At 34.2% G+C, this 17499-nt stretch overlaps 1 protein-coding gene and 1 long non-coding RNA gene across 2 annotated transcripts in view; one reads left to right on the top strand and one right to left on the bottom strand.

The window, feature by feature from the left end:
- ADAM7-AS1 (ADAM7, ADAMDEC1 and ADAM28 antisense RNA 1) overlaps nt 1–17499 on the top strand; it is a 252805-nt gene that overhangs the window by 70621 nt on the left and 164685 nt on the right. The window lies entirely within an intron of this gene.
- The window catches only part of ADAM7 (ADAM metallopeptidase domain 7), a 68540-nt gene that overhangs the window by 31568 nt on the left and 19473 nt on the right, over nt 1–17499 (bottom strand). Inside the window, exons 4-8 of the mRNA NM_003817.4 lie at nt 14038–14116; nt 12223–12299; nt 11010–11199; nt 9178–9231; nt 1494–1565 (exon numbers count right to left, since the gene is read on the bottom strand). Of these exons, the coding sequence (NP_003808.2) occupies nt 1494–1565; nt 9178–9231; nt 11010–11199; nt 12223–12299; nt 14038–14116 (472 nt within the window). The remainder of the gene's footprint in view (nt 1–1493; nt 1566–9177; nt 9232–11009; nt 11200–12222; nt 12300–14037; nt 14117–17499) is intronic.

Genomic DNA, 17499 nt, shown 5'->3' with positions numbered 1-17499 from the left:
GAAAAGATGAGGGAATTTCAGCAGAGAGGTGGAAACTATAAGAGAGAGTGAGTGAAATTAGCTGAGTACATATATGGTAGTAGTGACAAAGAATACCATTGATGAGTACATCAGTAGGCTAGACATGGGTGAGGAAAGAATCTTGTTGGCCCAACAAAAATTAGCCAAATGGAAACACAAAGAGTTAAGAGTGAAAACCACATAGGGGAAGGTCCAAAGCTGTGGGAAAATCACAGGATCTAATATGCATATAATTGAAATATGAGAAAGAGAAGAGAGATAACAAGGCAGAAGAAATATTTCAATTTCTTTGAAATATTTGAATGATCAATAATTTTTAAAAATAGTATAAAACAGCAAATCACAGATCCCAGAAGTTCAGAGAATCCAACACTGTAAATACCACACACACACACACACACACACACTGATGAGGGTATGCCCAAGGGACACATAGACCAGCTAAAATATTGCCCAATGGACAAAACTGAAACAGTTTGAGCAACAAAATAAAGTAGTGTTAGGTTGTAACTCAAAGTACAAAATAAATATCCATGAGTCCATACTGATATAAATAAATTATTAAATACATATTAATGGAAGAAAAGAGATACATCTCTTGCATAGAAAAATTTCAACTAATTTATGTAGATGCTCCATTGTCAAGGAGGAAGAGCATAATTTCCACTGAAGTGTGAGCCGTGCATAGTAACTTTCTTTCAAAGAATATATTATTGTGAGGAAGCATACACTTTCCATATGACCCAGTATTCCTACTTCTTCGTTATTTACAAAAAATAAATGAAATTCTATAATTGCACATACAACTATATACAAATATTTAAAGCCATTGTATTTACAATAGCCAAAAACTACAAACAGATTAAATGTCCCTCAACTGGTGAATTAGTAACCATTGGCCTAGAGGGGCCTTCCTTACAGCTTTTTCTTATGGGGTCTCTTTATCCTAGTAATAGGGCTGAGGTGTCTTAGAATGAGTCGGCAAAAAAAATGTGTTGCCATTCACAATTTGTTTTTTTAAAGGGTTATATACCTCATTCTAATTTAGACAAATTAAGCATTTTAATATATTTTACTGAAACAGTTACTCCACTTTCTATGCCAAACCATGGACAACAAATTATAACTTAAGACTTTTTGTTATACAACGTCACAGAGCAGTGATTTAAAGTAGTGTGATTTGGTTTACAGTGATTGATTTTCATATTCTTTGTACATTGGTTCATAAATTTTGTGATTAGAGACCAAATTTTGAAACTTATTTCAATATTAAATGTCACTTACATCGAAAATTGAAAATTCAGAGCTGTGGTTTGTTGTTATTATTTTTTCCCGTGGATTTTTGCTTATTAGTCTTTGTGCTTTGTACTCCCTTAATATCAGGTAACTACAATAGTCCAGCAGAGAACTGCGCTGAAAGGTTCTTTGCATTCGTATTATTGGCTTGATTCAAAAACTGTATCAAATCTTACCATGTTGACAAAATTGACCATTCCCCAAATTCGGTTCCTTAGTTTATTGTGAGGATGACCATTTCTGCGATACTGGAAATATAAATATCATATTAATATTCATTAATAATAGGAGTTGCATAAAAGCTCAACAAAATACTTCATTCATCAGCTATTACAAAGAAAAAAATCATTGGCCTAATGAAGAAAGAGAACTCCTTTCATTCAGCTAAAAACTAGACAACTTAAATACATTTTTGATATAAAATAACTAAATACAGCCCTCCTAAAGACATTCTTAGGTGTAGTATTACTTCAAGCTTTTCTTTCTAACTCTGTTTCCTTTTCACATTACATTGTACTACATTGCATTAATTTATTAAACCAACTGATTAGTGTTCTTTAGAGTCCATTTTTATCACATTGATGAAACAAACCTATTAAAGCTACAAAGCAATCTATATGGCGAAGAACAGCAACTTTATTAGTCCTTCTGTGTCCTTGGTGTTCACAAAATAAGGAATATGTAATTTAAAAACCCACTGGAGCTGGAGAAGTGCTGAAGAGGGACAGGAAACTGTAGCTACCCCTTCCCTCCAGGAAATAGCTACGAGGGCAAACCAGACTTTTCATGTCCAGTCTACTCTGACTTTTGTTGTCTCCTTATAACTGCATTCCCTTTTTGTACTATCGGGATCTTGTATCAATTATCAATTTAGACCTGATCAAATGTACTTAATAATAACATAAGGTGTCCTGTAGGGATAAATGCAAATGGTCAAACTTCTTTCATAATAAAAATAAGAAATTAACCTGCCTTTCCTGAATCCCGCAAGTATCTGCTTGTTACCATGCCATTGCTGTCCTGTTACCTTAAAGATCAAAATACTGCTAAGATATAGCATTAGAATCTCTTCAATCTTCATCTTCCACGTATTCAACCTACTACACTCTGATTATAACTGCCACTATTCCATTGAAACTATTCTTAATAACCCACAAATATTCTCTTAATTATCAAATACATTGTGAACATATTTTCCTTTCTGGTCATCTTCTCCACATTTAATGTTGACTATTTTCTGTTTCAAGAAATTTCTTCTTGGTTTCTATTACCCCGGACACTCCTACTATTTTATTGTGCATTCCCATTATCCCTTAAATGCTGGATGACAAATGTGTTTCACAACAGGATTTCCATTGATTGATTGATAAAAATTACCCAAAATTCACTGCCTAAAATTCACTGTGGAGAATATTCTGAAGCTATTTTAGGGATCACAAAGATTAGATGCTTTATCAATCAGTGAGTTTCAATCAGAGGGGAGGGAGGAGGAATGGTTAGGTATGAGCTTTGCACTTTTATTGCCAAATCTTTATTTAATGATGGGTGTTTCCCAGGATTCAGACATTTGTGTTCTGCTCTTCTTTTTCAACTTGCTAGCTGTCAGTGTTTCATCCATATCCTCACTTCACTTTCCTGCTGAGAATTCCTCATTATTGTGGAGATATATAAACTTCTCAACAGGTTTCCAAAGACTGCCTTTGGTTTCCTTATTTTATCTGACTGCAATGCTCAAATTTTCTATCCTTCTCTTGCTTTCTTGCTCTTTTTGTTGTTGTTGTTCCTTGAGACAAGGTCTTGCTCTGTCACCCAGGCTGGAGTGCAGTGGCGTGAACATGGCTCATTGCAGCCTCGACCTCCTGGGCTCAAGTGATCCTCTTGTCTCAGCCTCCCATGTAGTTGGGATTGCAGGTGTACACCACCACACCCAGCTATTTTTTTTCTTTTCTTTTTGTCATGATGAGGTCTTGCTGTGTTGCCCAGGCTGGTCTCAAACTCCTGGTCTCAAGCAGTCCTCCCACCTCGGCTTCTCAAAGTGCTGGGTTTACAGGTGTGAGCCACTGCACCTGACCTCTGCTGCTTTTTTTATTTGGCTATCATATATATCATTAATACTCAGAACCTAGCATATTGAATGCTCATTAACTATTTGTCTAATGAAAATGGATGATTTACCTTAGGAACTTCTCTAAATAAAGAAAACCTTAAATATTTTAAGATACTATTAAAGCAGCATGAGCAAGAGCTATACACTAAAGCCCAGTTTAATGCAACTAAAATCACACCAAGCAACCCTTCACCTAGTATATGAGTAAAAATTTTAATAACCTATTCTTGGTCTTTAATAACACATATATTATTATTAAGAGCAAAGTGTCTCAGCATTCTTTATAAAATTTCTCAGCAACATGCCAGTGTAAGCCTATCTGTTTAGTGCTTAGAACTTACTAATTTTGATTTAAAATTTTGTTCATAGGTTAATTATAGTTTCTTCTATCTTTAATGTGTAAAAACTGTTACATCTTTTCAATTAAGATGGGTCTTACCTTTTTTATTACATTGGCTGGGAATTTCAGTAAAAATGTTGAAAGAAATCTGGTGACAATGAACAAATGTACCTTATTCCCAATTTTGGAGGAAAACTGCCAACATTTTATTAATAAGTTTAATGTTTATACTGAATAGGAGTTTGGTAAATATACTTTATTTTCTTCCACTTTTTATATCCTAAGAGTTTTATTATGAATGAGTGTTGAATTATATGTATGTGTATACATACACAAATATATACTATATATATAAATTTGAGATATTTGAAATTATCACTTTTTAAAAATCTATTCATGTCAAAGCAAAGCAATATTCACATTACCGGAGGAAACCGTCACTCTCATGTAAATTTTTATGGATATATCTTGGCTTGGGTTTGCAAATATTTTTTGGACATTTGAAATTGCATTTATAAGGGACATTAGCTTATAATTTTACTTTCTCATAAGATCATGTCTAGATCTGTTACCAATATTATCAGTTGTCATAGATTGTTACTGTAATGACTCAAGGAATCACTCTTACAGGTATCTATATCTTTTTATAAGTTTCCTCCAATGTTGATTCTAGTCTTGGACATATGACTTACTTTGCTTGAGACATGAAAACATGTACAAACAGAAGGTTGAAAAGTTCTTGCACATTGCAGCCTCACCTCTCTTTTGGTGCTTTGATGCCCAGCTATGATGCAAGAAAGCACAACTAGCTAGCCTATTGGAGATACATGGCCAGCTGAAACCCAATATCACGTACCAGGCAAATGACTGAGGCCATCTTAGACTAGCCAGCCATTGGACACAATAGATTACTGCAGCTGCATGAGTCATTGATTACCCACCAGGTTTTGAGTAGTTGATTACACAGTGGTAGATAAATAATACAAAGGTTATAATAAACTTATAAAATGTGGGGTTTTTTCCTCTTTTCCTATTCTGTGGAACAGTTTGTAAAAGATAAGGTTATTTATCTTTGTTAAACAAAGGTTGTTTGTTTATAAAAAACTTTGGTAAAATTTGCCACTAAACGAATCTGAGGCTCCTGGTGTCTTTATTTGCTGATAGGTTGTGGACTACTTATGTAATTTTTCAAATCTGCTGTAAATCTTTTTGGGGTTTCCTATTGTTGAGTCAGCTTGATAGCATTTTACTACATCTGTTTATAAATTTATTGGCACATAGTTCTTCATATATTTTTAATAAAGTGTAACTTTTATTTATATTTTGTCTTCTAATTTTACATATATTTCTATATTTTTTAATCAGCATTGTCAGAAGCTTGTCTATTTCATTAATGTTTTCAAAGAATTAGTACTTGGCTCTGTTGAACTACTCCATTGTGGTATTTTTTGTTTTGCTTGGTGGTTTTATTGATTTTTCTCATTGCTAAAATTACTTTCTTCTTTATACCTTCTTTGGATTTATATTGTTTTGTTTTCTAATCTCTCTAGTTGGACTCTTAGTCCATTTATTTTCTTTCTTTTTTCTTAATAAAACTGTTTAAATTGACAAATGTCTTTCTAAATACTGGTATGCTACCTGTATCTAATAAATTTTACTTTACTATTTTTTATGGTCAGTTATAAATAGTCCATAATTTCAGATTTGATTTTTTAGACAATTAATATTTGGAAATATATTGTACTTTCAGTTTCCAAACCAATAGTCTTTTAGTGGTTTAATTTAACAATTTCTGTTATAACTTCTAATTGGGTTGTGGTAAAAAAGAAAACAGTGATCTTATGATATCTCTTTGCTATTTCTATGTATTTTCTTTGTGGCCAGATACCCACTTAATTTTTTCAAATATGTTATTTGTACATGAAAAAAATACATATTCTTTTTTTTTAAATGCAAGGTAGTATATCAGTTGGTTAAATGAAACTTGCATTTATGTGGTTCAAATCTTGTCCATTTTTGCTGAAGCTTTTCCTCTTGACCTTACATTTTCTGATGGAGAGGAGCTAAAAAATACCCTACTTTTCTGGCAAACCTGTTTTTTTTTTTTTTTTGTTATCTTTTTATACTTTGTTGTTAGGTATTTTCATATTTTGTATCCTTTTGGTGCTCTTTTTCTGATTAATTCCCCAATTTATCTCAAATAACTTTTTAAATCATAAATTCTCTTTTATATACTATTAAAATCATAAGATATATTTTTGGAGAGAAGAAACTAGTTTTGAGATTTTTTAGGTCTCTTGAGAAGTTTAGGTATATTTCTTATAAATGTCATAATGTCCTTTTCCTATATTCAATTTGAGACTTTCTAACTTCTAACAGGCAGATGTAATTGTTATATTTACTCTAATTTCTGACACATTTGGAATTACCTTCACATATTTTTTTCTGTTTTTGTATTTACTATTCTGTGTGTATGTATATATGTAATATAGTTATACATTGCTTGACAATGGGAATATATTCTGAGAAATGAATTCTTAGGTGATTTCTTCTTTGTGCAAACATCATAAAGCATACGTACACAAACCTAAATGTTATAACCTACAACACAGTTAAACCATATGGTATAGCCTATTGTTCCTAGGCTGCAAACCTGTAGAGCATGTTACTATACTGAATATTGTAGGCAATTGTAACATAATGCTTTTTGTGTATGCAAACATAGAAAAAGTACAATAAAAAATGGTATAAATGACAAAAAAAAAAAACCTGGTACACTTCCTTAGGGAACTTACCATGAATGGAGCTTGTAGGCCTGGAGGTTTCTCTGGACGAGTCAAAGAATGAATGGTGAGTGAACATAAAGGCCTAGGACATTACTGTACCCTACGGTGGACTTTGTAAACACTCTATACTTGGCTACACTATATTTACACAAGTATATTTTTATTTATTGAATAATAAATTAACCTTAGCGTACTGTAACATTTTTACTTTATAAACTTTAAAAATTTTTAAACTTTTGATTTTTTTAGACATCAGTTTAAAATCAAACACATTCTATAGCTGTACAAAAATATTTTTTCTTTATATCTCTATTCTGTAAGCTTTTTTCTGTTTTTTAATTTATTTTTACTTTTCAAACTTTTTTTGTTAAAAGCTAAGACAAAAACCACACACATTAGCCTAAACCTACACAAAATCAGGACCATCACTATCATTGTCTTCACCTCCATATCTTGTCCCACTGAAGGTCTTTAGGGGCAATTACATACATACAGCTGCCGCCTCCTCTGATAACAATGCCTTCTTCTGGAATATGTCCTGAAAGACTCACCTAAGCTATTTTACAGTTAACTTTTTAAATATATCAATAAGAGTACACTATAAAATAACAACAAAAAGTATAATATAGTGAATACATAAACCAGTAACATAGTTGTTTTTTATTATTATCAAGCATTGTGTACCGTACATAATTGTATGTGCTATACTTTCATACAACTGGCAATGCAGTAGGTTTGTTTACACCAGCATCACCACAGACACATGAGTGAAGCACTGTGCTGTAACGTTATGATGGCTACGATGTCACTAGGCTATAGGAATTTTTCTGCTTTGTTATCATCTAATGGAACCACTTTCATATATGTGGTCTATTGTTGACCAAAACATTGTTATGTGGTGCATGACTGTAGGTGTATGTGTGCAAGTGTGTATTTTCTTTGAGGCTTTCTGTTGGATTGGTCTTTTTTTTTTTATTTTCAAATCCACCTATTTCCCTCTACCCTTTTGGGATATTTACATTCTAATTGCTAGGTTCATAGTGATTACAATTAAAGTTTTAATACTCACACTTTACTTATGAAGTGTAAAATTGTGACTACCTTTACATTCCTAATCTAAAATTCCATAGAACATTTTAAGTATGATTTCTTTCTCCGAATATATTATCCTTGCCTGATACTTTAGTACTCAATTTAAATTTTATAACATTTTTCATTAGCTGTTTGAACTTACTTTCTAGAAACTGTATCTTCTGTTGTTTAAAACGTATGCTCTGTTTGTGATTTACTTATAGTCAATCTGCCTCTTTCTTACAGTTGATTTTAAAAGATTTTTTCTTTGTCTTTGATATTCAGAAATTTTTCTACCATGTTATCTGATTTGCTTATTCCTTTCCTTCTGGAAAATTCTCAAGAATTGTCTCTCATTTGTCATCTGTCATCCAATCATTCCCATTCACTCTTTATAAGCTTTATATTCTGAATTAATGTCTCTTATGTTCTCTTTTACAGTTTCCAACTTTTTATTTCTCTGGAGAAATGGTGGTTTCTCTATATCCTCCATTCTCTAGTTCACTAATTCTTTCTTCACATGTGTCTAATCTTCTGTTTAATTTTTTCAAGGGTATATACGTTTTCCTTTTATAAATGTTAAAACAGGTAGTTTTTCAAGTATGCCTGTTGTTTTGTCCAGTCTTTTCTAGTCATTTCAGTGTCATTTTAATTCATTTTTACATCTTTAATAACTTTAAAACATTTAGTGTCACAGCACAGTCTGAAATATCATTGGATGATTTACAGTTCCAGGTGAGCTTATTTTCCTTTTTTTTAAGTTGATTGACTCTTCCTCATGTGGTTCATTTTATCTTGGATTATTGAAGAGTCACTTTAGGGCATTTTTGACTTGACTTCCAGCAGTTTAGCGGTTCTCTAATAAGTTTTTATATTAAAAAATTTGCTTGGCAGTGCTGCATCTGAAGAAATATATAATATCATGTCCCACATCTGTGCATAACACAGACAGGAGATTTGTTTTCCCATGTGTAACATTTTACCTGCTCATGGCTATAGGCAGACAGAAAATTTCCCTTATCTCTTGCAGTTTCTGTGGAGCGTTTCTAGTTCCCTTTTCTGAGATGGGCAGCCCTTTATGGCTCTGAGAATAATGCAGAGGTCTCATTTCCAAATTTCAGTATTGTGCTTCTCAGGGGTTTACATTCAATTACATTACAATTGCCTCTTTTTGTATTCTGTATAGCGGGGTCACCAAGCCTTTAAATTTTACTCACTGTTCTGATAGAGATTTTCTTCTTCATTTTTAGTACTTGGAGATTTTCCACTTTTTCTTTTGAGCTTAACAACAGGTTGCTAAAATATTTTCAACTTTTTGTATGTCATTCAGCATTTCCATATGTTCTTAATGGGGAGGGGTGTTCTATTTTGGGTCAGTCTGCTATTGTGGCAAAGGACCCCATAATCTCTTATGTATGTCTGTTTTGGGAAGCTAAAAATAGGACTTTGAGCCTAGAATAGAACTCTGATTAGAATACCTTTCTCTCTATGCTAGAATGATAACTACAAGTTCCAAAAGGAAGAATAAAGAGAGAAATGTTCTATTGAAAACTTACCACAGTATCATCAGCAACAATGAACAATTCAACATACTTTTCATCATGGATGCCCTGTAAAGTTAGGGAAAATTCAGTTGAAGTATAGTTAACACTTTCTATCTTAACCCTTTAAGTTGGAAAAAAAATCCTAGTATTTTCAAGGTAAGAAATGTTGATATTGATACAAAATGGGGAGGCATATGAATATATAAAAATTGTACGAATTTATCTAAATGAGATCTATACGATTAAACATGGGGTCCTATACATCGGATTTTAGTATTTTCTATTTGTTCTTTTTTTTCTTTTCTTTTTTTTAAATTTAATTTTATTTTTTAATTTCCGAGGTACATGTGCAGGATATGTGGGTTTGTTACATGGGTGAGCATGTGCCACGGTGGTTTGCTGCACCTATCAACCCCATCACCTAGGTATTAAGCCTAGCATGCATTAGCTCTTTTTCCTAATGCTTTGTTTAGGCTTTCAGGTCAAATAAGAGTTGTAAATAATCATAAACACATACTTTAACATTCAGGTTTTTTTTTTTTCATTTACTGAGTAAGTGTTTCATTAGTAAGCTCACGTGAAAAACATCCATCTGTAACTGAGAGTTAAAACATAGTGTGGACCAACAGGACTGACTGCATTTCTTGTACTCCTTCCCCTGCTTCCCAACTTTCTAATTTTCAGTAGTCTCAATTCCAAGCAAACATGTACAAATTTTGCTAATCATAGATCTTTTTTTTAAATTTATTTTTATTTATTTTTCTTTTGAGACAGGGTCTCACTCTGTCGCCCAGAGTCGAGTGCAGTGGTGCAATCTTGGCTCACCGCAACCTTCCACCTCCTGGGTTCAAGGTATTCTTCTGCCTCAGCCTCCCAAGTAGCTGGGATTACAGGCGCACACCACTACTGCCTGGCCAAATTTTGTATTTTTAATAGAGATAGGGTTTCACCATGTTGGTCAGGCTGGTCTCGAATTCTGACCTCAGATGATCGGCCCGCCTCAGCCTCCCAAAGTGTTGGGATTACAGGCATGAGCCACCATGCCTGGCCAATCTTTTATGTCTATAAAACACCAATACCAGGAAATTCTTCTAAGTATTCAGCTTTCAGTGTGCATGCGCTGAGGTATGTACATATTCTCTGAGGACAAAACAGAGGTAAATTGTTCAAAGATTTGGCTAAATCTTTTTCTATGGACTAAGTAATCATTTATTTGTTGATTTATTCAATCAGGAAACATCCATTAGGCATACAGTATGTGTCAGACACTATACAAATCATGGACATACGAAGAAGAAAAACAACCAAGTAGCTTACAGACTAACATCCACTGGGAATTTAAGGGGATATGGATTAGTTGTATAGAAAAGCCTAAAGCTCCAAGGACTACTTTTATACAACCATCCCACCAAAAACTGAACTTGTTTTATCCTTAATCATCCTTAACCATTAAAACATTTGAATGATAAAAAGGGGAGAACATAGCTTGTCATCAATAACTCTGCAAAAAAAAATGGCAGGGAAGAAAAGGAAAGACACTATCTCTAGATTAGGTTTTAGGACATTGAAAATTTCATGATTTCCAACTACTCATAGCCCCAATGTTATCAATCTATACATAGAATTGTAGAATCATCCTTTCTTGAAACTGATTAAACAAACTCTATGAAATAAACACTTTTTACATAGACAAGAAAAAATTTTCCAATTTCAAATATCAGATGAAGTGCCAGACTGAAAGTAGCACATATATTTCAGTAACTGGACTCATACTTTATCCCTAGACATCATCAAGAAAATAAAAGGTGTTTCATTTGGGGTAAAGATAATAATAAAGTACTCACTTTTATTTTGGAGTCTTCTTCAGATTCATTATCCCCTGGAACAGTTTTTCTGGTAAAATTAAGCTCTGTACAGGAATAATTGGCACCATACGGCACCCTCAGGTTATATTTGAACACCAAATGTTCTCCCTCATCTGAGTATTTCACTGGTTCAATGAGGTATCTTTGGTCGTTTATTCTGAAGAATCCCCTGTAGAAATTGGGAACACAATTTGTATTCAAGGCCTATAATTACTCTATTTCATTGTATTGACTTTGCCTTTTCAAGAAAGAGAAACCACAAAGCCAGTGCTTCATGAACAGGTAGGAGAGTGCTTTCAGTGGTAAGGAAATGTGATGATATGAGGCCTTTGACTGAATCAATACTTTTTTCTAAGAGTCAACTTACTAGATTTTCAGAAGTTTCACAGTCCAATATCTGCTTTGAGTACAGGTAGTGTAGCAAGTCCCACTGGTGGTTGTGGACCGCTGTCAAGTCTTAAGAGTTATTGCAAAAATTATGTGAGTTTCTATGTCTATCATGACATGGAATATATATGAAAGTAAATATATGAAAGTAAAAATACTAATATGTGGTAACTGTGTCATTAAAGGGGTTCTCATTCTTGAAAACACTAAGAACTAGTCAAGCAAATTTCCCGTAATTAAAGACAGAACTTCCTTGTTCTTTTCCTCTTTACCTCTCCACATCATCTTTCTTTGTCCATGAGCCTATGATCTATAGAGAACTATAGGCTTTACTTCTGAATTTTTACTTTCAAGAGGCTGCAAACACAGCTCAATTTAGTAAAAAGCTAAAAGAGTCAAGCCTTACGGCATAATGGGAATTCACAAAACTAGCCTTCAAAAGACCTGGGTTTCAGGCTCAATTTTACCACTAGCAAATGGAATATTCAGGAGAAAGCTTCTAATTTCAGTCAGTATCCTGATCTATAAAATGAGAGCCCAGACTAAATGATTTTCAGTAATCTTCCAAATATGAATCCCTTATTCATATACTGCAAAGCTTGTCTTGTTCAGGACTATGCATTAGGCATCTCTTTGTCAAAATGTAAATCATAGGCTACAGCTGAAACTGCTAAAAATGCACAGCAGCTTTTTTCTCATTAATTTTTCTATATACCAGGAGTGATAAAACAAAATCAACAAAGTTAACTTCTTTGAAAATCCATAGGAAAACTCATAAAGGAAAAAGAAAGATATTCTGCATTACCTTAGACCATTACACGTACTGATACTGGCAGCTGAATCATATTCGTGTACTATGGATCCTTGGTAAAAACAATGATCCTAAAATAGAAGAAGACTCTATTACTATATGTATAAATATTGATTTTATATAGATACTAATATCTAAATATTTTCTGTTCAGAATATATCAATGTTTTATTTTGACAAATTGCATTGATATTTGTTCTGCATTCATTCATTAAATTCTTTCATTTGGAAATATTTGAGCCTGCTTCAGAGACATTTTACCTTAATTATGTGATTATGTTGTGTAAAGCAAAGTATAGATTCTTCCTCTACAAATTTAATAGTCTGTTAATGACGACAGTAGTTTTAGAATTGTGACCTTTTCCTTAGAAATATTACTTTTTAATCCACCCTAAAATTTTTACGAAACTAGCCTTTCTCTCCAGCCTCTCTGTTTCAATCAAGTTGGTGTCTTTATTACTCCCTACTTGATGCTCTGCCCATGGTAGTCCAATCAGGTAATTATTTTTCCCATCATTTCCATGTGTTAAAATCCTCCCTATGGATGACACTTTCTGTGGTCTTCCAGGGACCTCACACCCTCACAAATAACCCACCCCCTGCATAAAAGAATGTTACCCAGTTTTCCTCTTGTCCTGTTTTGAAGATTGCATGAAGACTTAGCTCTCATAGAAGTTGACATTTGCTGCTGGGCATGGTAGATTACGCCTGTCATCTCAGCACTTTGGGAGGCCAAGGCGGGTGGATCACAAGGTCAAGAGATCGAGACCATCCTGGCCAACATGGTGAAACCCCGCCTCTACTAAAAATACAAAAATTAGCTGGGCACGGTGGCGTGCGCCTGTAGTCACAGCTACTTGGATGGCTGAGGCAGGAGAATCGCTTGAACCTGGGAGGCGGAGGTTGCAGTGAGCTGAGATTGTGCCGCTGCGCTCCAGCCTGGAGAGATCGAGACCATCCTGGCCAACATGGTGAAACCCCGCCTCTACTAAAAATACAAAAATTAGCTGGGCACGGTGGCATGCGCCTGTAGTCACAGCTACTTGGATGGCTGAGGCAGGAGAATCGCTTGAACCTGGGAGGCGGAGGTTGCAGTGAGCTGAGATTGCACCACTGCGCTCCAGCCTGGCAACAGAGTGAGGCTCTGTTTCAAAACAAAACAAAACAAAGTTCACCATTGCTTTAAATGGAGGAAATACTTTTTTAAATGTATAGGTTTGGTAAAAGTAATGTTCTTGGTAGAAGGTTACAGAGGACATGTTCTGGAAAAAAGCAATGGGGATGTAAAAATAAAATCTGTATCTAGATTTTATTAAAATTAATGGAATAATAATAATAAATGAACAAAAATTCATTTGAGGATTGAAGAAAAGACCTCAACATTGGTGCGTCAGAAAAACCGGGCAAGGGGATGAGAATCACATAAGGATCAATTAATGGAGATTTTAAAGTTGTTTCATAGCTTCAGATTTTATCCGTTTAGCTTGATCACAGCCTCATAAGGTGCCTTATATTTTTGGTGTCCTGCTTTACCCTCTCCTAGACTTAACACCATATTGAGTGTACAGAAATCAGTTTAGGAAAAGCAAAGCTATATTAGCAGTCATTGATTTGCTTGTTAGGCAGTAAGAGGTTAGGGTCCACACAATCGTATTTTTATACTATAATTTTTCAGTGAGAGTAATCAATTCAGAGCTTATTTCTGATGTAGTACTTTCTGAAACAGCTTGTACAGCTAGAACAGGGTTTCAAAATCACATCAGGAAATACTGCTTTTAGAGAAGAGACACAGTAAAGTTCCATAAGATACCATGATCTGAGGATGCCTGGTGAACGCTTCTCCTTTCATGGAGTAGAATGTTTCACTGTAATTTGAGCCTAGGAACTCCCTGAAAAAGAGGGCAGACAGGTGGTGAGATTTGTTCGTTCTAAAAACCTGACAGATAAAACCTATAATGTGATGGAGAAGTGTCCAGTTTGCTTCCAAATCTCAGCAAGATCCTCTTCCGCTAGAAATAGTAAAGCAAAATCAAGCCCACTCATATGAAGAGCCTTTCTACTTAAATATCATGGTTCATAAAGACTGTAGAGAAGCTAGAAAATAGATTCTGGCAGTTTTAGCAAAGCAGTATTTTTAAAATAGCTTGGAGAAAATGTTATCTAAGCAAAAATCAGAGATCAAAATTAATGCAAAAAACATGCATTAATAAATGTGATGAATATGTCTTATATTCATCACATCATAAGATATATGTGGCGAGTACGTCTTAATATATAGTAACCTAACAGCTACATATTTAGATAAAAGTAATATGTATTAATTATAATAAATTCACACTACCCATGCTGTATTTGGAATTGAGCCCAATCTCTCTCCCCCATGGCAAGACCCTACCATTGCAGTGGTCTCTATATCTATAGTGATGGGCCTGAATAAAGCCTGCCTTACAGTGCTTTAACAACTGTCACTGAATAATTTTTTCTTGAACATCTTTTTGGACTACCCATGGCCACTTCTTGATCCCAACCTGAACATAAGAATCTTCTAGAAGTTCTTCAAAACTCAGTGCAAAACACACATCCTGACTCCATCAAGCAGATTTTGAGATCCCTTCATAAGGTGTATTTCACACTTCAAAAGATATTCATTTTCATGTTTGCTACATAATAAAAATGTAGCAAACTTTTTCTGTACAGGTGAAGACAATAAGCATTCGAGGCTATATTGGCCATATATGTGGCTGCTATTACATGTTCTTTGTTTCATTTTTTGTTACTGTTGCTGCTGTTTTTACTCCAAATATTCCAAATTTTGAACATTACTCTTAGATTAAGGGGTATACATTAATAGAAAACATGCCCAATTTGGTGTACCAATTATCATTTGTTCACCCATGATGTATTTCATGTCAGTCTTCAAAGGTTACCTGTGAACTACCATAGGAAAAGGACTTTTCATTTTTATTTATTTGTGTCTTCCAGTTTTTAAGATAGTATTTGGAATATTAGGAGTGGTCAAAAAAATAAATGGTGAACTAATGTTTAAAATGAACTAAATATAGCATTTCATTCCTCCTATGGCTGAATAAGCTACTACTAGACAGACATTCCATGTATAAATATTTAGTTCTGGATAATACATAAAAAGAAAGTACCTCAAGGATCTAGGTACCGAGCAAAAGCAGGCAGACTCTGAAGGGATGTCAGCATCCTTTGGGAAAGGGAAGGAGGCTCAGGGGAGAAGGCACAGCATGAGAGGTGAAGAAGGCACAGCATAAGATGAAGTTTCCAGTTTTACAGCATTTAGCTTGAGGTCAGGCTGAAGTCTGCCTTATAGAGGACGGATAAAACTCTGCTAGAAAACCACAGTTGTTCTTATTTGAAAAGCCATATAACAGAGTTTGGAGTAATCACAGTAACAGGAATGTACACAGTAATCATGGAAAAAAATGAGAGAGCGGGGAGAATCCTCAGTTCTGTAAACAAACTCAGTCTCAAATTCAGAATTTTCCCTGAACTATGACATGTGAAGGATAGATTAAAAGTAGCCATGCTAAGAATAAAACAACTGAACTAAAATTTGATGCCACCCAAAAGACAGAATTTGCCGTTTAAGTCCAACAAAGTTAATCTCCAAATAAAATGAAAATATGAGAACTCTTCAGCAGAACGTAACAGAATTTGGAGTCCATTTCACACAACATTCAGATTGTTCAGTTCATAATTCAAATTTACACAATGAAGAAACATGAAACATTGAACTATCGTCAAGAGAAAAGATGATCAGCAGAGGCTTATCTCAAGTTAATCTAGAAGTTGAAATTACAGATAAGACTTTTAAAGCAGCTACTATAACTATGCTTAGCAAAGTAAAAGAAAGTTATTTGCAATGCATGCAAAAATGTAGAACTGTGGCAGATAAATGGAATTATATTTTTTAAAAACAAATTGAAAATGTTATAGCTAAAAACTACCTAGATAAGTTTTACTTGATATCCTTAAAATAAGAACAAAACTGATAAAAGAGTTGACAAACTCAATGAGAGATTAATAGAAATTACCTAACCTGAAAAAGAGACAGAAAAAAAAGAGCTTCAGAGCTATGTAGATTACATCAAAAGACTAACATACTGATTAAGTGGAGTGCTGGAAAGTGGAGAAAGGGTATCAGAAAAAAAAATGGAAAAGTAGTAGCAAAAAATGAACCCAATTTGGAGAAAGACATGAATTATAATTTCAAGAAGTTCAGAAAACATCAAACAGCATTTACGAGAAGAAAGTCACACCTTTGCACATCACTGTCGGATTGCAGAGTATCAGAAATAAAGACAAAATCTCAAAACCAGCAAGAGAAAGACAACACGACACATACTGGGGAACAGAAATTTGTACAACCATTAACATTCCATTAGAGACTATGTGAGCCAGAAGAGGAGAACATCATCAGTCATCATCTTTTCTTAAAAAAATACAGAAAACCGGCTGGGCGTAGTGGCTCAGCCTGTAATCCGAACACTTTGGGAGGCTGAGGCGGGTGGATCACGAGATCAGGAGATCGAGACCATCCTGGCTAACATGGTGAAACCCCGTCTCCACTAAAAATACCAAAAATTAGCTGGGCGTGGTGGCGGGTGCCTGTAGTCCCAGCTACTCAGGAGACTGAGGCAGGAGAATGGCGTGAACCCAGAAGGTGGAGCATACAGAAAATTGGCGAACCCAGAATTTTATATGCAGCAAAAATAGCCTTCAAGAAGGAAGACAAAGACTTACAGATAAAATAAAACTGAAGTGAATTTTTGCCACAGATCTATGCTACAAAAATTGGTAAAAGTTCTTTAGTCTCAATGAAATTGTAACACATGAAAAAAACTGAACCTGTAACAAAAAGGGAGAGATAAGAAGTGATAAATGAATAAACTAAAACATATTTTCACATAAGATACATATAAATGTTTAAAGCCAAATTATAGTCATGCATCATGGGATATATATATATATATATACACACACACACACACATACATACATATATATACACACATATATATGTGTATATGTATATATATATGGCAACTTTTCACAAATAAGGAGTGTCTGTAAATGAACTTATTGCAATGTTTTTACATTTCACATAAAATGACATGACATTAACTATAACTTAATGATTAATTGTAAATATATGCTGCAATCTCTAAAATGAAAATTAAATCTAATGTAGAGAGTCATTGTTACAAAGTTAAGAGATTAATAAGAAGCCAGCAGGGAAAGTGAA

The sequence above is a fragment of the Homo sapiens genome, chromosome 8, assembly GCF_000001405.40.
Source record: "Homo sapiens chromosome 8, GRCh38.p14 Primary Assembly".
Taxonomy (NCBI): Eukaryota; Metazoa; Chordata; class Mammalia; order Primates; family Hominidae; genus Homo; species Homo sapiens.
This window is presented reverse-complemented; position numbering and strand designations above follow the sequence as displayed.